The sequence below is a fragment of the Homo sapiens genome, chromosome 20, assembly GCF_000001405.40.
Source record: "Homo sapiens chromosome 20, GRCh38.p14 Primary Assembly".
Lineage (NCBI taxonomy): Eukaryota > Metazoa > Chordata > Mammalia > Primates > Hominidae > Homo > Homo sapiens.
The window spans coordinates 61,432,945-61,453,287 of NC_000020.11; the positions used below are offsets into that span (position 1 = coordinate 61,432,945).

General features: G+C 46.0%; 1 protein-coding gene and 1 long non-coding RNA gene across 7 annotated transcripts in view, besides 8 other annotated features; one reads left to right on the plus strand and one right to left on the minus strand.

Annotated features, from left to right (window-relative positions):
• The window catches only part of CDH4 (cadherin 4), a 688,357-nt gene that overhangs the window by 180,684 nt on the left and 487,330 nt on the right, over nucleotides 1-20,343 (plus strand). The gene's annotated exons all lie outside the window — the stretch shown is intronic.
• LOC105372703 (uncharacterized) lies at nucleotides 120-4,481 on the minus strand. Of its 4 annotated transcripts, NR_187682.1 has the most exons (5): nucleotides 4,097-4,481; nucleotides 3,536-3,689; nucleotides 2,759-2,850; nucleotides 2,012-2,207; nucleotides 120-1,931 (listed from the first exon to the last, which is right to left on the minus strand). It is a non-coding gene; the product is annotated as an uncharacterized LOC105372703 (long non-coding RNA). The 4 variants fall into 4 exon arrangements; NR_187680.1 differs by lacking the exon at nucleotides 3,536-3,689; NR_187683.1 differs by lacking the exons at nucleotides 2,759-2,850; nucleotides 3,536-3,689.
• Nucleotides 559-1,148: an enhancer, noted in NCBI's record as "H3K27ac-H3K4me1 hESC enhancer chr20:60008559-60009148 (GRCh37/hg19 assembly coordinates)". NCBI's record gives its function as "activates a minimal SCP1, AML or CMV promoter by ChIP-STARR-seq in naive H9 embryonic stem cells {active_cell/tissue: H9 hESC(naive)}" and the evidence as "EXISTENCE:reporter gene assay evidence [ECO:0000049][PMID:30033119]".
• Nucleotides 1,149-1,738: an enhancer, noted in NCBI's record as "H3K27ac-H3K4me1 hESC enhancer chr20:60009149-60009738 (GRCh37/hg19 assembly coordinates)". NCBI's record gives its function as "activates a minimal SCP1, AML or CMV promoter by ChIP-STARR-seq in naive H9 embryonic stem cells {active_cell/tissue: H9 hESC(naive)}" and the evidence as "EXISTENCE:reporter gene assay evidence [ECO:0000049][PMID:30033119]".
• Nucleotides 3,508-4,096: an enhancer, noted in NCBI's record as "OCT4-NANOG-H3K27ac-H3K4me1 hESC enhancer chr20:60011508-60012096 (GRCh37/hg19 assembly coordinates)". NCBI's record gives its function as "activates a minimal SCP1, AML or CMV promoter by ChIP-STARR-seq in naive and primed H9 embryonic stem cells {active_cell/tissue: H9 hESC(naive and primed)}" and the evidence as "EXISTENCE:reporter gene assay evidence [ECO:0000049][PMID:30033119]".
• Nucleotides 3,508-5,119: a biological region, named in NCBI's record as "MED14-independent group 3 enhancer GRCh37_chr20:60011920-60013119".
• Nucleotides 3,920-5,119: an enhancer, noted in NCBI's record as "MED14-independent group 3 enhancer chr20:60011920-60013119 (GRCh37/hg19 assembly coordinates)". NCBI's record gives its function as "activates an origin of replication core promoter dependent on BRD2, BRD4, P300/CBP and CDK7 cofactors, and independent of MED14, by STARR-seq in HCT116 cells {active_cell/tissue: HCT116}" and the evidence as "EXISTENCE:reporter gene assay evidence [ECO:0000049][PMID:35650434]".
• Nucleotides 4,097-4,686: an enhancer, noted in NCBI's record as "OCT4-NANOG-H3K27ac-H3K4me1 hESC enhancer chr20:60012097-60012686 (GRCh37/hg19 assembly coordinates)". NCBI's record gives its function as "activates a minimal SCP1, AML or CMV promoter by ChIP-STARR-seq in naive H9 embryonic stem cells {active_cell/tissue: H9 hESC(naive)}" and the evidence as "EXISTENCE:reporter gene assay evidence [ECO:0000049][PMID:30033119]".
• Nucleotides 15,738-16,298: an enhancer, noted in NCBI's record as "H3K27ac-H3K4me1 hESC enhancer chr20:60023738-60024298 (GRCh37/hg19 assembly coordinates)". NCBI's record gives its function as "activates a minimal SCP1, AML or CMV promoter by ChIP-STARR-seq in primed H9 embryonic stem cells {active_cell/tissue: H9 hESC(primed)}" and the evidence as "EXISTENCE:reporter gene assay evidence [ECO:0000049][PMID:30033119]".
• Nucleotides 16,299-16,857: an enhancer, noted in NCBI's record as "H3K27ac-H3K4me1 hESC enhancer chr20:60024299-60024857 (GRCh37/hg19 assembly coordinates)". NCBI's record gives its function as "activates a minimal SCP1, AML or CMV promoter by ChIP-STARR-seq in primed H9 embryonic stem cells {active_cell/tissue: H9 hESC(primed)}" and the evidence as "EXISTENCE:reporter gene assay evidence [ECO:0000049][PMID:30033119]".

Genomic DNA, 20,343 nt, shown 5'->3' on the forward strand with positions numbered 1-20,343 from the left:
TCTCCTGCCTCAGCCTCCCGGGTACCTGGGATTACAGGCACGTGCCACCACGCCTGGCTAATTTTTGTATTTTCAGTAGAGATGGGGTTTTACCATGTTGGCCAGGCTGGTCTCAAACTCCTGACCTCAGGTGATCCGCCTGCCTTGGCCTCCCAAAGTGCTAGGATTAAAGGCATGAGCCACAACACCCAGCCTATGATGGATTCTGAGTTAATTTATGTTTGATGTGCGTGAAGGGTCAATGTTCTTCTGTTTTTTAAATTTTTTCCGTATGGTTATCCAATTGTTGGTGCACCATTTGTTCAAAAGAGTTCCTTTCCCTGTGAAATTACCTCGGCGGTTTTGTCGGGTATCAATCAGCCGTCTGTGTGTGGCCCTGCCTCCTGTCACCCTGCTCTGACGCCTTCCTTCTGTCGACACCACCCTGTCTTGATTCCTGTGCGTTTCAAGTGAATCTTGAAATCTGGTAGCGTCAGCCATTCGACTTTACTCCTTCCAAAATTGCTTTGGCTCTTCTAGGTCATTTGCATTTTCCTATGAATTTTAGAATCCACTTGTCATGTAAAAAAAAAAAACCTGCTAGAATTTTGACTGGGATTGTCAAAATCACTCTCAAAAATCACTGAAGTTGACTCTGAAATGCAGCATGCAAGGGTTTGGGTGTGCAACTTGTACGTGAGTTCTAGTGCACAAAAGAAAGTGAGAGCCAGCAAGCCGGGCTAGAGGGGATAAAGGAGAGAGTGGTGGCGCATGTGCCCAGGCTCCCGTCGGTCCCTGAGAGCTTTCCTTTCCCTAGAGTGACCACAGGGTGGGTAGGAGGTTCCCTAGGATCCCTGGAGGGTGTGTCCCTTTATTAATAATGATAAAGGGTGTGATGTAGACTCCTTAACCTTACTACATGTGAAAAGAGTGTTTATTGCTGAAAGGATTAAATAAGATAAGACGCTGAGTAGTTGAGCTGCAAATGCTTGTGGATTGAAGTCTAAAGCCAGCTTACATAGACCCACCCACCTGCCCATTTCCTGCCGTGGCCTCCTGTGTCCCAGCCACCACCATCGTCCCATGGCGCATGGCTGACGTGCTGTCCTGCAAAGGGCCAGGCGTTACCCTCTAGCATGTACCACTCTCCACTGGCTTCGTTCTTGGGGCTCATGATACATATTATTTGGTTACTTCCACCTTGGAGTATCACAGGTCAAATCAGCCAGTAACTCGTGGAACTAACCCACGAGTGGTGTTTACCCCTGGATAATGGCCCAGTGGAGGGGCTGGCCTGCAGCTCACACCCACCATGGTTTTGCTGAATGGTGCTCGTTAGACTTTGCATAATCGAATTTAGCCCAGCTCTATGAAGGCTCTGCACAAGCTAGTCCCCTCTCTCCGCTATTTGATGGAATAATAGATCCATAGGAGAATTCATTTGCAACTCTAAGCCCCGAGTTAAAGACGTCTCAAGGGATGAACGTGGGTGATTTGTGGAACACTGCGATGCATTTATGAGATAGATTGCACGTTCACCGCGGCGCTCAAAGAAACCAGATCGGGTTGCATTAGAGGCGGTGCTGTAATCCGGCTGTCCTCTGGGAAAGAATGCAAGCTTCCAGTGTGCGAAGTATGAGGGGCTGCAGAGGAAATTGCTTTGGTGGCTCTGGTCCTGGGAGCAAGTACCTGCTTCTCGTTCATTTAAGCACATTAGCGAGCTTCATAAACACTTAAGTGGCTCACGAGATGCTTCACTTCCAGGCCTCGCCCCACCTCCTCCGCTGTCACACAGAGGCCACCAGAAACCACGGTCTTCTGGGTTTGACAGCCAGGCAGACAGGACCAGGCCAGGCTGCAGCTGCTAACCCCTGCGCTGGCAACTTCCAGACCCCCTGCACAATGTCACCGTCCAGTCATTCCTCCCTGGGCTGCCTGCCTTCATGGGGCCCCTGCAATTAAAAAAAACAACAACTTATTCTCACTCCTTTCTTTTAATATGTCTTATTAATAACTGTGTAAATTTGTTTACTTTTTAGGACTCCATCATGATGTAAAGTAGATAAAACAACCAATTTGTCTTTCTTTTTCTTGGTACATGGGTGTCCTGCAGCCTTCATTCCTTCCAACCCCCGCTTCACGTTCACGAGTATGAAGTTGAATTAACTCATGCTTTGCTGAAGCCGGATTGTGAGATTGTGTAGGCAGACGTGGCTTTTCTTCTGAGCCTGCAAAGCAGCAGAATTCATGACAATGGGTTCCGTAGTAACAGGGACTGACTGCGCCATGCTGTCTCTGTCCATCCTTACAGCGCTCAGGAGTTTGCATGCCATTACTGGGACCATTTTACAGAAAACAGAGGCTCCCAGGGGCAACGTAACCTGCCCCAGGACAGGCAGCCACAAGGCAGAGAAAGGAGGGTTGGACCTGCACCTGTGAAACCACAGCCCTGGGGCATGGCTTCTGAGACTCATAGCTGGGGCTGAAGATCCCTAGGGGGGCTCTGCTGGGCTCACTGCTCTCCAGAGTGGTCCAGCCCGGCTGCAGGGTGCTGCTTCCAGCTTGGTGCACTGCGGCCGGAGGAGGTGGAGGATGGAAAGTAAGATTCAAAGACAGGGAGTGCAAGGGGACAGTGATACTTGAGGACTCCGAGGAGGAAGTAGGAGAATCATCCGGAATGGCCAGCCTGGGCCGAGCCTGGGCCAACACCTGGGTTGAGCCCAGCCCACAGAGCGGCTCCCGGGTCCTTGCACCTGCAGGAGGCCAGAGCTGCTTTTACCTTCAAATGTTAGATGAGGTGCCAGCACCTGGACAGGAGACGTCCTGCAGTCAGCTCACAGACATGAGGGTGTCGACTCCCCAGTACCCTTCCTGGAGACGCAGAAGTCAGGGTTTTAAAGTGGGGGTAAAGACACCAGCTGCCTCATGTGGGTGTGGGGAGCATCCTGTTGGCCCATGTGCTGGGGAGGGGCTCCAGGACTCTGGCCACATGTGTTCTGTGACCTTCCAGGCCAGTGTGGCCTGGCCCTGCCCCACCTCCCCTCGCCTTCTCCAGTCTGGCCACACTTGCCTTCTCCCAGCCCCACCACAGGACCTTTGCACATGCTCTTCCTGCTGCCTGGAGTGCCCTTTCCTAACCTGGCTAGCCCTGCTCATGCTCCAGATCCCAGGTCAGCTGTCACTTCCCAGTGGAGCTGGCCCTGCCCTCCTCGACTAGGTCAGGACCTCCTAGTCTCGGCTTCAACCCCCACCTTGGGCTCACCTTGCTCCTCTCTTAAGCACCATCATGATCACTCTTGCACCTTCGCCCCCAACTGCATGGATTCCATTTCAACCCCACTGGCCAGACACCAACTGGGTATCCTGCAATTCACTTCTGACACTGTCTAGCAGAGGCAGCTCAGACCCCACAGGTTAAGGACAAAAGTCTCCAAAAGACTACCCCCACTTCAGATGCAAGCCACAAGTCCCGGGGGACCTTGGCTACAAATTCTGGAGTTCCCACAACATGCTCAGAATGGATAACTCACTGGAATGACTCACAGAACTCAGTTACCTCTAATTGTGCTTTCATTATAAAGGAAACAGAACGCATAGGGTGAGGTCTGGGAGGGGCAGAATTTCCATCCCTCTGTCATGGAGTCAGCAGGGGTCAGCAGGGGTCTCCTTCCAGCACATCCATCTGTCCACCAGCACAAAGCTCTGCTGAGCTTCAGTGTCCAGGATTTTTATTGTGTTTTGTTATGTAGATATGATTAATTAACACATTGGCCTCACGATTGAACTCAGTCTCCAACACCCCCCCACCCCCATCTGGAGGTCAGGCTAGCTCCAAGTCCCCAACTCTCTGGTCCTGTGCCTGGTCTTTCTGGCGACCAGCCTCCCCATCCTAAAACCACCCAGGGGCCAACAGTGAGTCACTTCATTAGCATAACAAAGACACTCCAATCTCTCAGGAAATTCCAAGGGTTTTTAGATGCTCCATACCAGGGCCCAAGGACAAAGGCCTCTTGTCTGCTCTGCCTGCAGCAAGCTCAGAAAGGCAAGGCCTGGCCTGTTTTGCCCCCTCCTGCGTCCTAGCACCCAGCGCAGGGCCTGGGACATGGTGGGAACTCACCAAATGCTGATATTTGAAGGAGGCAGTCAGTCAGCCTGAAGGTGGCAGGGCCTACAGAAGACTTGCAAGGAGACCGTAGAAAGGAAAATGCGTCTGTCTTTGAAGAGCAGCAGGAAGGGCTCAGAGGTGCCCTGCTGGGCCCCCGCCCCCCTTGTCTTGCCTTTCTCAACTGCTTTTCAACCAGAGAAATGACTCGTCTAGCAAGATCCTAGGCCCTTAGTAGAGAGCTGTTTATTTGCCTTGATGCACATTTCTTTTTCCTTTATGGTATATGTTATTTTCCTCTGGCAAGATCCCTGTTTTCTTTGGAACGGTGCTTAAAATGATAGCATTTAGCCGACGAAATAGCAGCCCATCTTCTGTCTCCCTGTGACGCAGCAAAAACGCGGTGACTAGCCAAAATGCCTCGCTTCCTTTTCGTTGGCACAGCAAGTCCTTGTGCCGAGCACTGATTGCTAAATAAGGTATCTGGGCTCCAGTCACTTCATCCTAAGAGCAGTTGTAATCAGAGTTTCAGCAGCACACACCGCCCTCTCAGGGAGGGAGATGCTGGCTGGGCCGTCTTTTACAAATGGATCGTCAGTGTGTTCGGGTAATAAGGAAACGAGAGGGTTTTTCTTTTCCTCCCAAGTGCCACTGTGCATGGCGGCTTCTCTCATGGAATCTGGGTCCATTGTACTCCACTTAAAAGGACTTAGGTCGCTGGGGACCCTTTCATGACTGCCCTGATGCAGACGGTCCCGTTTTGTTGACACACTCCACACGACGGTTAGGAAAATTCCATGGGGCCTCCAGATGTGCCCCTGGAAAACAGAAGACATTCTGATGATGCCAGAAAGACTGGTCCTTTTCCATCCATCCAGGAATCGGGAAACGTTTTCTACTAAGGGCCAGTAGGCTTTTCAGCTTCATGGGCCGGATGTCCATCAGAACCACTCAGCTCCACCACTTCAGCAGGAAGACAGCCGCGGACAGCACTTAATGACCCGTCCAGACTCCAACAACGTTTTATTTTCACAAACAGTGCATGCCAGGTTTGCCCAGTGGGCTATCGTCTGCCACCCTGAACCCTGCTACAATTCTGATTCAGGTGTCCCAAATTAGGCAAAATGCACCTTGCATTTCCCTGACTTATGGGTCAAATTTTTCCAGTGATGCCTTTAATTCAAGGACAAGTATCTTGAGAAAATGTATTGTTTTTTAAAAAAAATTATACTACCATAGAAATAAATAAACTCACCAGGATGAAAGCACAGCTTCCATGAAGAATTCACATTATATACTATGAAAATCTATACCCCGTGCAATTTGAGTGTGTTTTTTCTAAAGAAGCTGGGGAAATCTTTCTGTGAGTTTCAGTTTTATAGTGTGTGTTTTGTTCTCCTTGAGAGGACCTCGTAAATCAGTTGGACACGTTTTGCTATAAAAGAAATATTTTATGTGTGAAATGCTGTCTTCAAGACTTTTCTCTTTTATCAGGGGTTTGTAAAAGTAGAAAATGGCATGTGGGTATAATTGGTTGGCCATAGTCCTTAACTGTAGATGTCATATATCTCTGCTAATGCAAAATTTATTTGCATGTCAGAACTTTATTTGAGTGGATAAGGGCAGAAGGAAGCTGCTCTGAAAACATTTCATATGAAAAGGCATATTCTGTACTTCCAAAAAAAATATTGGTCAAAACTTTGCCATCCTGTGTTAGTAGGGTGCTAAAGTCCACTAACTACCCACAGAAAACATCCCAGCAGTGTCCAGAAAGAGAACCTTGGCAAAAGTAAATCCTGCCATGTTATTAAATCAATAAGATTCCCAAAATCAGTGGAAGGAAGCTCAATTCATTTTCAATGCCCCCAGACAAATAGTAAAAATTAGCTAAAAAAAAAAAACCAAAAACCTTAACTTACCTAAAAACATGAAGATCATAAAATTTCATTCTTATTTACACAATGAAAACACATTGGGTAAAGCTTTTCAACGCCTCTTTCATTTTTCCCCCCAAGCCTAGCATCTGCCTTCGGTGTTGACTCTTCTGACTGAATATATTTTTAACTTTTAAAAGACTTGTCTTTTAACTGAAAAATAGTTTGATTTTTTGTCAAAATGGTCAAAACAATCTTGGTGCTTGAAGTTGTGTTATTTGAAGATTCAGGCCTGTCTTAAAAGCGAGAGCCCAAGAAGGGTGTTGCGGTGTGCGTTTTGGTTGTGCTGCAGTGTGCGTTTCGGTTGTACTGCAGTGTGCATTTCGGTTGTACAGTGTGACAAAACAAACCCCTCAAAGCTCAGAGGCGTCAAACAGCTGCTCCGTGGCTCTGAGGGTTGGCTGGGCTCAGCTGGCCTGTCCGGACTTGGAGTTTCTCATGCACCTGCACTCAGTGGGGTTAAGGCTGGCATCATCCCAAGCCATGACCAGCCAGGGCATGCAAGATGGCACATGTATGTGGCTAGTAGTGGACGCTGGTCACCAGCTTGGAGATATGCTGGCAGCAAAGACTGGACATGGTTCAGCCTTCTGATGGCATAGGGACTAGGTTCTGAGAGCAGATGTCCCCACAGGGAGCATTCCAAGAGTCCTCTGTGGAAACCAGAAGGCTCCTGTGACCCAGCTGTGGAAGGCGGGAACATCTCTTCTGCAGGACTGTATGAGTCAGACAGTCACTGGCCAGTCCAGGTTCAAGGGCTGGGCATAAGCCCCTCCCTCTGATGGGCAGTCCAGCATGCAAATACAGAGGGGTAGGATTCGAGGCGCCTCTTTGGAGACCATCACCCTCAGCACTAGAGGGGACTAGCGGGGAGGGCTGCCCACATCCTAACTCTTTGTATCGCCCTAGTTACATGGTGATATTGGGGAAAAAAGGCATTCTTGTACAGACCACTCCTAAATTGAATTCCCACTCTAACATGCCTCACTGCTCATCACTGAGATCCATCTCTGCCTAATACACTCAGGTCATCACGGCTTGATCTTAGCTGATTGTTTTATATTGCAACTGTCCTATCCATAAAGCCTCAGTGCAATGGAGTTGGTTGCAAAGTGAAAGTGCAAGAAATGCAAACATGCAGGATTTCATGAAGATGCCTGCGCTATCTTCATCATGAAGATGAAACTGCTATCAAGAAAGTGCAGGAATTGCAGCCACAATTATTGAGAAAGGAGGTGGAGTTCAACCAGATAACCACTGAGGAGGCAGAGATCCAGTTAGCCCATGAGAGTAGAAGACACTTACTGAAGTGATGAATGATTCAGAGAACACCTTCAGGATATTAGTAACATTCTAGACTCGTTTTTGCAAAGATCACTCTTTGCAATGGGGCTCTGAAAGGCAAATGTAAAGGGAACACCCTGTTGAGCAGCCACAATGCTTGTTAGCCGCAACAAGTCAAGTAGGACGCAGTCACTGCTTGCATGTCTTTCACCCTAAAAGTTAGCATTTAGTTGCAGTTATAAGCAAAGTTTTATTAAATACAAAATAAAATACATCTATTTTTGCAAAATTTTAGTTTTGTTTTTTGGATATGAAGTGCTAAGCAAATACTCGGTTTGCACTCTTGACTATAAAATTTCAACCCTGGTTTTCAGTGGATTCCTGTTGAAGCCTTTCTGACAGTATGGATTGTCCTTCAGAACAAAGACCTCCTGAGATGTGAATCCGGGGAACCAGGGCTGCAATGCCTGCTTTCTTCTCGGCCCGTGGCGGGCGCCATGGAGGAAGCGCTATTGTTGGTGTCCTCAGCAGGTGTCCCGATGCCTCTGGTTGTCATGGCGCTTCTCTGAGACAGGCACAGCATGGGGAGAAGTTCTGGCAATCACATCAGGTGTCTAAATGCCACTGCCCTCGCGGTGGTAAGTTCTGGAAGTCTGTAGTTGTCGGGAAGAGCCCAGGTCAGCAAATCGGCAGGCAGATTGCTCAGAAAAGTGTCAAAACAGTCAGACTTTGGATCTGAGCCGGAAGTTTCTTTTGAGTTCAGATATCACTTCAAAAACATTTTCTGTGTCCAGCTTCAGTCTTGGGGTGAAAAAGACACATTTCTTTATCCATTTCAGAGCAGAGATGACTTCTTTGAGTTCCAAGCGTGTGCTATGTGGCGAGCTTTCCCACAGGTCACGCAGAATCTCAGACTTGAAACACAGCGTCCAACACCGGCCCTGCTGTCATCCATCCATGGCAGGAGCCAAACTGTCCATTCTCTTGGAAGAGTAACAAGAGAAAGGACTAAATTTCAGAATCAGGGGTTTCAGAAGGAAAGGAAGCGGAAGGAGCATCCAGGTCAGCCCCTTGGCTTCAGAAAGGACTTAGGCAGAGGGACTGGGCCAGGGCCTCACAGCTAGTTGGGGCAGAGCTGGGCAGGCTTCTGGGCTCTGCTCGCTCATCGATGACACTGGTTATACCCACTCCAGGTGGGAGAAAAGACCCCTTTCCCCACTGCCATTTAACCACTGTTTGATCCTGCTGTGTTCTGAATGTCTGTGTCCCTCCAGAATTCATCTGCTGAAACCTAACTCCAAGGCGATGGTGTTAGAAGGCAGGGCCTTTGGGTGGTTATGAGGTCATGAGGACTCTGCCCTCAGGAATGGGATTAGAGCCTTTATAAAAGGGACTCCAGAGAGCTGCCTGGCCCGTCTTCCATGTGAGCACACATAGAAAGTACCATTTAGGAGAAAACATGCCCTCAATAGACACCAAATCTGCTGACACCTTCATCTTGGGCTTTCCAAGCTCCAGAGCTGTGAGCAATAAATTTCCATGGCTCATAAATGACCCAGTCTAAGCTCTTCTGTGATGGCAGCCCTATCAGACTACGACAGGACCCTAACAACAAGAAGAGCCAGGTTGGGTTGTGCAGGTGGCACGGCACGTTCATCCAGGTTCTCTCCAACCCTTCTTTACTAACAGGACATAGCTTCAGAAAAACTTGAGCCCTGCTGAGGTGGAAACTCTTGCAGATTTCAAATCCAATCGTTTGTATCAGCATATTCTTCTGAAGGACAGTGATGAGCACGAATGTGACCCACACTTGAAGACCACCCAGACGCAAATGCCCCAGCAGCTTCCAGAGACAGTTATTACTGTTTTAAGTGCATCTATTTAGCATGATGGATTTGATCAGTCTTTGCTAAATTGAGCACATAAGCGAGGATGTATTTAAAGGAGTGTTAGTGCACTTTTTATAAATCCCAAACGCAGGGCAAGCTGGCTCATGCCACTGTTGAAAAGCAGTGTGTGTCCGAGGAAGGGCCGCATCACACCGGGTGTGGATGGAACCATGCCTCCCTGACGTGCAGACCCTCCGAATACTCCACTTGCAGAACCTGTTTTTAAACAAACATCATTATTATCAGGTCAGTGAAACATCCCCATATCGCTTATGCTCATCATCTGCTGTGCAAATATTTGTGGCTTTAAAAGAATAACAGATCGTGAGAACTCCAGTAAAATGATTGCAGAACTAACCACCCTTTTAAGTAGAAGTGACATTTCTAACAGGCCCACTCAGACGGTTCCAGCCTTCGCTTTGGGGTTCTACATTAAACTCCACTTAGGCTGCCTGCAGTGAGGGGCAGAAGGCTGCGTTACAGAGACTCAAAGGCAAAACGTGGGGTGCTTGCCTGCACCCAGTGGAGCCTCATCCACGATCAGTGACTTCCAGAGACAGGCAAGGGTGTCAGGAGGCTCCCGGGATGCACTGAAGCAGCTCCTTTTAGGAAACAAGCGGCAAAGAAGAATTTTAACCCTCTTTATGCTGATAAAAAAATACACACGTGTGGGAATGCATGTCTTGGGTTTGAGCACTGATCCTTTTTCTGCAGTCCCCCGGCCTTGGCACTGTTGGCCTCAGGGGCTGAATCACCCCATGGTGGGGGCTGCCTTGTGCATTGAAGGTTGTTTAACAGTGTCCCTGGCCGCCACCCTTTAGATGACCCCTAGGTGCACCCCTTCTTCCTTCCTCCACCCCCAGGTATGTGAATCACAATGTCTTTAGACGTTGCCAGTGTGTCTTGGAGACCAAAGCAACCCCTGATTGAGAACCGCTGCCTAGGAAGACACACTTTTCATTTGTTTGTTGTTTTTTAATGTAATCTATAGTTGAGAGACACCCTGCCCCACCTAGGTGTGAAGCACCTCGCTTTACCTGGAAGGCTGGGCATATTTAAATACCACTCCCCTGCACGCTTATTTGTCGCAGAGTGGTTAATGCTCTTTAATTGGTGCAGTAAATATTCCAGAGTCTTCCTTGTTATGCCGGAGTCATTTAGAAATCAGCCCTGAAATGTGGCTGCTATTTTAGGGATCATCACACATCATCTGCTGTTTGGTGTTAAACCCTGAGCCGCTGTTATTTAACACTGATTAATAAATGGCAGGTTGTCAGTACCGGCAGTGAAGACACTTCAAGGAGCCATTGTTCTTTTAAATTAAAACATTTAAACATTTAAATCCAGGGCTGGTTCTCATGGCTCGTTTTAATTATTCCTTTTGTCTTGGCATACCTTTCTTCTCCTGATCACACAGCTGTCACGCCAGCAGTACCTGGAGTCGGAACACGACAGCCCTTTCCCTATTAGCTGCCATTATTTTCGCAAGGAAAGCTGGAAGCTGCTGGAGCAGATGTTAATTTTGAGAGAAGACTGCTGGCTAAGTTATTAAAATGAGCGCATCCGAAGGCTGCGACTCATATGATTTATACGCGGGCAGGGCCTGCAGGACCGGGTCTTGCTTGGCTCTGTATGTGTGTGTGTGTGTGGATCTGTGTATGTGTGTCTCTCTGTGTGGTGTGTCTGTGTATCTGTCTGTCTCTGTGTGTGTGATTGTGTGTATCTCTCTATGTGTCTATATCTCTGTGTGTCTGTGTATGTGTCTGTGTGTGTGTATGTCTGTATCTCTGTGTGTGTGTCTTTGTGGATATCTGTGTGTGTGTCTGTGTGTGTATCTGTGTGTGTGATTGTGCGTATCTGTATATGTGTCTATATCTGTGTGTGTCTGTATCTATGTGTGTGTATCTTTGTGGATATCTCTGGTTGTCTGTGTGTGTGTCTGTGTGTGTATCTGTCTGTGTGATTCTGTGTGTGATTGTGTGTATCTCTATATGTGTCTCTGTATGTCTGTGTGTGTATGTCTGTATCTATGTGTGTGTGTCTTTGTGGATCTCTCTATGTGGGTGTCTGTGTATCTGTATATGGCTGTGTCTCTCTTTGTGTATTTTGTGTGTGTTCATGTGTATCTATGTGTGTGTGTGTATGTGTATGTATGTGTGGGTTTCTTTGTGTATGTATTTTTGTGTATCTGCACGTGTGTTTCTCTGTGTGTGTCTGTGTATATTTTTGTGTTTCTGCATGTGTGTGTCTATGTGTGTCTGTGTGTGTATTTGTGTGTATCTGTATATATGTGTATGTGTGTGTGGGTTTCTTTGTGTGTGTATTTGTGTGTATCTGCATGAGTGTTTCTCTGTGTGTGTCTGTGTATATTTGTGTGTTTCTGCGTGTGTTTTTGTGTATCCGTATGTATGTGTATCTTTGTGTGTCTTTGTGTACATCTGTGTCTGTGTGTATATCTGTGTGTATATGTATGTGTGTTTCTCTGTGTGTGTGTATATTTGTGTGTTTCTGCGTGTGTGTTTTTGTGTATCCGTATGTATATCTTTGTGTGTCTTTGTATACATCTGTGTCTGTGTGTATATTTGTGTGTATATGTATGTGTGTTTCTCTGTGTGTGTCTGTGTATATTTGTGTGTTTCTGCATGTGTGTGTTTTTGTGTATCCGTATGTATGTGTATCTTTGTGTGTCTTTGTGTACATCTGTGTCTGTGTGTATATTTGTGTGTATATGTATGTGTGTTTCTCTATGTGTGTCTGTGTATATTTGTGTGTCTGCGTGTGTGTGTCTGTGTGTGTCTGTATCTATTTGTGTGTATCTGTGTGTATATGTGTGTGGGTTTCTTTGCGTGTGTGTTTGTATGTATCTGCATGTGTGTTTCTCTGTGGCTGTGTGTATCTCTGTGTGCGTGCACGCATGTGTTGATGGAGCATTTTCCCTTCCCATCTTGGTGCTTGCTACGGGGAATTCTTGTCCCTAGTCTTTTTTCTCCACTCTTCCCCCACTCCCTATTGCAAGAATCCCAGCCTGACCCTGGCCACCTCTGGCCAGGGATTGTATTCGAAGACTGTCAGGAAGCTCTGGAATCAATGGAGCTGGGGGACCCCAGCTGAACAATATCCAGGAACCAAGAGGCCTGTGGAGAGCCAGGCAGGGCCCCGGCCATCCCCAGGCAGGACAGCATCAGTGCTCAGAGTCTGACTCCGAAGGAAAGGTCCACTTGGCCAAGCCGAAGGCATGAGTTGTTGCCCCAGGTCTCTCCTTCAAAGTGAGTGGCCATAGCACCCCATGCCAAGACCAGCCACAGTGAGGGCCCTCTGAGGCAGGCGGGGCATGGGAGTGCAGATGATAGGAAGGGTGGGAGTGACGAAGAGCTGGGCAAGACCAATGCCCCTCAAACCTCCCCTGGCTTCCCTCCGGCCCCTCCTCCCCCTCTCCCCTCCCTTCCTCTTCCTTCCTTCTTCCAACAGGTCAGCAGGAGGCAAAGGGACCAAGGCCATTCTACTTTTAGTTCTAGAGAAGCAATTTTCTCACCAACTTCAGAATACACCGGGTTTGTGTTATATTTCACAGTGCTCTCGATTTTTAAAAAAGGAAAAAGAAGTAAAGCCATGTTGCAGCATTAAAGGTAGAGACTTGCGAGACCTTTCCCAGGATGTGACGTGCTGGCTGGACGCCATGGTCCTTCGCCCTTTCCTGATTTGACATGGGGAGGGAGGGTTCCCAGCCCATCTGAGCTAGTCCTCCGCGCAGTCCTGAAGGAGGCCATCTGTGGGCCAGTGCCTGGCGTCCTTTCCTCCAGAACGCTGGCCCTGGAGCCTCCCATGCCCGCTGGTGGATAGCAGTTGGTTACAGTGTAGCACACATGGCAGTGAAACTGAAACCACAAGGAAACTGTGGGTGCGCAGTTGATTTAGAAGTGATGATTCCTAGGTCCACTTTAAGAAAGACCATGAAAAATGAAATCAGAGATCAAATGTGTGGGTCATACTTGGGAAGGGTGTGTTTTACTAAGATGACCTTGGAACCAGACTGGACTAGCAGTCACTAAGCAGTGTCAGCCAGAGATAATCATGTAAAATACATTTATTAGACCAAGGCCTACTGCTATTTTCTTATAAACTTATTTCTACAAGTTTGTCTCACTTTTATTTATATATCTAAAAATAAGTAGGGGTGCAAAAATGTACATAAATACTTGATTAATTATTTTGCTTACAAAATTACTTCTCCAATAAAAAGATTATACTTTGATCATACCCATAGTTTAAGTTAAAACAATTTTAAATAAGATCTAGCGTCATACTTTTAAACAAACAGTCTTATTCTATTGGCATCACTTGCACTGTTCCGTGTCATCAAACGTTCATAGCTGCATAAACATTCCATCTCATGGATTATCGTTCAGCTGATCCGCCTCATCTTAAAAAGTTGGGTTGCTTGCACTTTTCATGATAGAAGGTGGCTGTAAAGCGAATTCTTGTGCATGCGTTTTTCACACATCTCTGTTCATTTCCTTGGGGTTGACTCCCAGGACTGAAGAACTAGAATGGTTTTAAGGTTTCCGCATGTGTTGCTGGTCTGCCCGAAGAAAGCCCAGCCCGCTTATCCATTCATGAGTTTGTGTGTGTCTGAGCACCTGTCTCACCTTAACCCAGGGTATGTGTTGGGGTGGAGAGTGTGTACAATTATATATATACCTTAATAAATATATTCAGTTTGGCCAATTTGTTAGGGGAAAATTGTTATTTACACATTTTTATATGTCATTATTAGTGAAGCTGAATTTTTATTGCCAATTGTTTATTGGTCATTAGTTTTTTTCTTTGTAAATTAGTCATCTCTTTGGATTTTGTGTGTGTTTATTTTAACTTACGTTTTTCCCTCTGGAGTACATATCTTTTCCAGTATGATTTGGAGGAATTCTTTGTATACTGTTTATTTACTAACCTTTTTGCCTACCATACTCATTATAAATACTCTCTGTGATTTTGTCTTTTGGGTTTATTCATGGTGTTTTTTGTTTGTTTGCTTGTTTGTTTTTGAGACGGAGTCTCACTCTGTCACTCAGGCTGGTGTGCGGTGGTGCGATCTCAGCTCACTGCAACCTCCGCCTCCTGGGTTCAAGCAATTCTCCTGCCCCAGCCTCCCAAGTAGCTGGGATTACAGGCATGCGCCACCACGCCCAGCTGATTTTTTTTTTTTTTTTTTTTTTGTATTTTTAGTAGAGACAGGGTTTTGCTATGTAGGCCAAGCTGGGCTCAAACTCCTGACCTCAGGTGATCTGTCCACCTCGGCCTTCCAAAGTGCTGAAATTACAGGCATGAGCCAGTGTGCCCGACCTATTCATGGTGTTTTCGATATAAAGGCTTTCCTGGTATTTGGAAGTCATGCTTTTCAGTCTTGTCCCATTTCACTTTTTAATCATTCGGGGTCTCCTACTTTCCCCTTTCCCACTCAGATCCATTTTCTCTCCCCTGCTCATTCTACTTCCTTTTTTTTTTTTTTTTTTTTTAGCTTGAGATGGTGCATGGAAAATTTTAATACGATGCATGGGAAGGGAGGAGAAGAGGTAGGAGCAAGAGTAGAAAAGGAAAAATAAGACTTGGATGGCGAGGACGAGAATGTCACCTTTTGCCTGTATCTTCAAACTCTATTTTTATTTGCTTTTTAAAACATAATGATGTACAAGACTTTCATTTGGAAATTATATCTTCATTCCATAACCCTCTTTTTTACCTTCCTTTCATCATATTTTCCAACACTTTCCCCAGAATTCTCCCTCTTCCTTCATTTTCCTTCTTCTCTTACTTTCCCAACACTCTGAAGCATGAACTTACTTTTTGGAGGTCATGGGCTTTTCCCAAGATTCTGCCACCAGCATCCTGTTTGTCTTTCTTGTTCGTCCCTGGGGCTTTCTATGCTGATTTCCATACCTAATCAAGGTAGAAAAGAACCAAAAGGATCTTAAAAGTGGGTTGGCCCAGGCTTTGCTGGTTTGTTTCAGCCCAGCAGGTCTTTAGACTCCATGCTGGCTGGAAGCCAGTGCCCCAGGAGACATTTGCACTTAATTCCTTCTGTATCCCAGGAATCACGGACAGCTGGGCACCTTGTTTTTACATTCTGCTGACTGTGAAGAAGGTGCTTTTATAGTTTCCATAAGCGATGTTTATGAAACAAACCTGCACTCTTCCAGACCGGAAAGGTATTATGCGAACGTTTTATGAGCAGAATGTAGAAATTAATGGAGAAAAACTACTAGAAATTTGGGTCGTTTGATGTTGTTTGCTACTCGCACCCAACAGAGTACGGTTAATCATACATCACGGCACAGCCTCCTCCAATCTCCTTCATAATGTGTTTTTTTATTTCCATTTGTGTTGGGGGTTTTGTAAAATACACACATTGTGCTCTCTGGGAAGATAATGGGTGTCTCTGAAAGGACAAAGCGGACTCTGATTTAGTCGGCTCTGTGCTGTGATAGGAGCAAGAGGAGTTTTTTGTATTGCATTATCACCATTCTGGTGGTAGAAAATGACTTAAATAGACCTAGCCTCCGAAATCGTCACTGTGTTAAGCCTTGTTATGATGAACTTTTCCTCGCGTGCACGTGCAGTTCTGTATAATGAATATACAGATAGGCACCCGCGCATCTGAGGTTTTCTTTTTGATACTCTGAAAAGGCTATTCTTTCTTTTTTTAGGCCAAACTTCGAGGTTAGTGATGGGGAAATAGCAATAATAATAATAACAACAGCGTGAAAAATAAAATCGAAAAGCCCTGGCATATTTAAATTTTGATTAGAAGCCAGCTGCAGTGTCTGGATTCTACAGTAGGTCAAGTTAAGGGGCTGCTGGGTCCTGAATATTCAGACTTTTTCTCTACTTTTTAAAACCTGGATCCACATTAACTTCTGTCACTTCACACACAGCCTCTGGGGAAGCAGTTGGGGATGGGATGGCACCTGCCCACTGTGTGCAGTGCCAGGGGCTGGGTGAGGGTGTTCAGGCTTCATCTTTGCTGCTTCAAGGGGCACTGGTGCCAGCCACATTAGCGTTTTAACCCAAGCCAAGGCTGTCCTCAGAGGCCCACAGCATGGTGCATTTATCTCCACGGGGGGGCCGAGGGACCTTGAAACCAAGGTCAGTGTGGATGGCTAGGCCAGCTGCCATTGGACCCAAGGAAAGGGGAAATTAAAACCATTCATTTACATATTCCTGATTCTCATGTTTGCTCCCAAGCTCTGTGCAAAGGCTAGCCTCCACTCTTCCCGGCAGCTCCACTCCCTGAGTCACTCCGCTAATAAGGACTATCCAGCCTGCCTTCTAGTCTCTCTCCGTAGCCTGTGACGTGGGGATATTTTGTAATCAGACGTATAGTCCATCTTGCTTAAATGGTAATTTGTACAGTCTCCTAATAGTGTATGAAGAGAAGGAGGAAAAGAAAGAATTCCAACTTTTATTGCTTTGTAAAGATCATTTTAACAGTAGTGTATGTTGATGGTAGAGAATTAAAAAAAAAATGGATAAGACTTAAGAACTTGAAATCACCACTGCTAATATTTTGATCTACAAATACCTTTTCTAGCCTTTATCACTAACTCTACAGAAGTGAAATTATACCAAATACTTTTGGTTTTCTCCTCAATGTACCCGTATACTGAGGCTATTATTAGACTTAATTTTCTATACCATTTTTAAGAGCTGCATAGATTCTGTGGTATTTTGTGGTACTTCATATGGTAATTTCCATAACCAAGTTGGAAAATATGCTTTCTTTCAATTATCCTATCATCAGATGGGTAAAAGGCACTCACACACACTTTGCTTTTGCAAAACCAGCGAGAACTCTGTGTTCCCTTTTGGAGCAGGTGCCGTTTGCAGCACTGCTGGCCTCTGCCCCTGACTAATCTCAACCCTTATTCAGAATGGAAACTTGAGGGTATGTTAATTTCTACAGTGTTGACAATGATGTCATTACAATCAAAACTATCTTAGTGGATTCTTTTAAGTCTTCTTGAATGACCTTCTGTTCATGAATGTTTAACCCAAGTCTGGTTCAGGGCTGTCTCTGTATGACTCACCTTCCTGGGATAATCCTCCAGGACAGGGCCTTGGTGGGACCCCAGCCTTCAAACTTCTGGACAGTTGAGACTAAAGGGAAATGATGCTTCCAAGAGGGGCTCAACAGGACCCACAGATCCAGCCTTACACACATGCATTGGCCCAGCCATGCAGGGAAATAGAAACAGTTCTCCCAAACTGTTCTCCATGCCTTTTTAAGTCTGTTTTCACAGCAGTGGGGGCTGAGATGCTGTGTGATTTGCACCAAGCCTTAACCTCTAAAGATACAGTTTATTTCATCTGTGCTGGGTCTTCACTTGACAGAGGATTTATTAAGGAAGACTTCAGATGCGAACGGCTGCTTTGATATTGAAATATGCTTTCGGTTTTGCAAATACGTTTGAGGTTCTATCTATGTCTATTCCTATTAAAAGCTCAGTTCCCTCATCATTGTCCCAAACCGAGAAGGTGTCTGAGCTTGCTGTGATAAGACAAGGACTTCTCAGGGCCTGGATCCACAGCTCCAGGATTCATTCAGCAAACTGCTCGGTGGCCACTGTTGTCAGGACACTGGGTTAGGGCAGAGAGAACCCTGCTCTCCAATGGAGAGAGTCTGCTGCTGTGCTCCAAGAGTGGAGGTGGCTAGAGCGGGGTTTTCTCTGCTCTAACCCAGTGTCCTGACAACAGTGGCCACCCAGCAGTTTGCTGAATAAATCCTGGAGCTGTGGACCCAGGTCCTGAGGAGTCCCTGTGCTATCACAGAACACCAGATAGCCATGATGCATCTGACACAGTCCGTTTGTGAGGAAGTCCACAAACCTGGATCATAAGCCTCCATAGAGAGGGGCCTGGAGGCTCAAGAGAGCGGAGGGTGTTTTGTGGGAATAGATGCTCACCAGCTTTTCTGAGCTTTTTCCCTCCCTCTCACGCCCCCCCCCTTCCCTCCGTGTCATCCTGCCACCTGTGCATGTTTCTTCAATAGAGTCTTGAGTAACTCTATGATAGAGAGCTGTGCCTGGTGCTGCGGAAGCCTGATGGGCATGATACTTGGCACCTGGCTTCAAAAAGCGGCTGCATATAAGGAGGAAACGGCACGGACCACCATGGAGCATGTGCGTCTCAGCTGCGTCAGAGTGGTTCAGAGTGCTTGGCCTCACGCAGACCTGGCTATGAATCTCAGGTAGGATTGTTGCTTACTTGAAGCCACATCTTCAAAGCCTCAGTTTTGTAATCTGCAAAATGGGTATAATAATACCGTTATATATCTTAATCCTATTTCCAAGATACAGGCAAGCTAACAGGTTCAAATGAGAAAATGCTTCTGGGGCAAAGCCTGAAGTGGCAGCATTTCTTCCTCTTCTACCTTCCAAGTAGGTCCTTTGCTTACTGGGTAAAGGGAAGATCGCCGGAGCCCTGAGAGTCTATGTGGACATACCTAGGAGAGCTGGGGTCGCCAAGGAAAACTGTAGAAGGTGGGAGGGAGGAGGGCACTAAAGAGAGGAGAGGGGAAGGAGGAGGAGGGGGTAGGAGGCTGGGAGGAAGGCCTCCAGGGTGGACTCTGGACAGGGCAGGAGGGCTCCCTGGCCGTGGTGTGCCAGGGATCCCAGCATACAAGCTTCCATTTGTCTCCAAAAGCCTGATCTGCACAACATAAATGAGGAGGGATGTAGAGACTTCCCAGCTCTTCTCATGCCTAGGCACTTAGATGATTTAGGGAGAAACCACTGGAAAATTAATTATCCAGATAATTGCCTAACACTTAACTTCACTTTATAAAATGGAAACTTGATTGTGAGTCTTGACATCCACCCCTTCAGTGTCCTTCAGAAAACGGCTGTGGCCCCTTCCTGAGAACCTGGAGCATTCGCGCTTTTCCTTTCATTTGTGGATTGTGACGCTGGCTCAGCCTGTGCTTGGGCTCCACTGCAGAGTTGCGCGGCTGGTGGAGGCTTGTGCTCAGGTTGTAATAAAGCAATAGCCTTTCACCTTCCCAGGCCGGGCCCACAAACAGGCAGGTGGCAGACTTACATGTTGAGTTCCAGGTGTCTTTGGAATTAATCTCGTGTCAGAAAATTATATGAGATGATGCCTGATGCCTCTTGTCCATAATAGATCTTAGTCCCTCATTTAAGGATTTCCTTACACTGCTTGATAGAGAAGAAAAGCCAGCCTTAAGTAGCTTTATGTAGGGAGCTTGATTTCTGAAAAGATTGCTAATCCTAGTGGGAATTTATATAAAAGCGTTCAGACTCTGCAGAATAGCCACGTTTTCGATATTTATCAAATGCAGCTCTTCTTGTGTGAATAATGCATTCTGGGGCAGGCTTGGTAAATTGCTTTAGTTAATGAATTTCAAAGGTAGAGATGGTTGTTGAAGCATCTCATCTGGTGAGCTTGCTGTTTGAGTTTTGCTATTTATTCAGTTTTTAAATTTTTCCAATTGTTGAAGAGTTTTCCCACACCGTACAGAAGTAAGGCAGGGAAAGCAAGAGGTGTGTGATTTGGTTGATTCTTCACACTTCATCTTTGTGATGCATTTTTTTTTATGTGTAAAGGCCTTGCAGGCCTTGTGATTCAGACAGTAAAACCTTGAGAAAGTGGCCCCTGGCAGGTGGAGAAGATATGAAATAGGGGAGTGAGACAAAAACAGAAAACTGAGTGACACTTATTATGTTTCTCAGCTTTTCCACCATCCATTTACACCACAGCCCTGGGTTCTAACCAGTCTGCCTTCTTATAATAACACACTTAATAAAAAGCATAGCTGGTATTTAATCTTGTAACTTCTTAGAAGTTAAACTAGTGATGTGTCTTCTCCTAAGTTAGCAGTATAGAAAAAGCTTCTATTAAGAAGCAAATAAAGAAATGAAAATCAAACTTCCTGGGAAGTAATTATATGAGTTTATAATAAGCCATAAGACATTTGAAAGGAAGGGGAAAAAAGCCAATGAAAGAGTGTATTGAGGATATTAAGTAATTTTAATGTCACCATTTGATATCCAGGAACTTGAACAATTTATAGTTCTTGAAATTGTCAAATTGAAGCATTCATTTTTCTGTCATGGGAGCAGTGGCAGTGATGGGGGATTATATA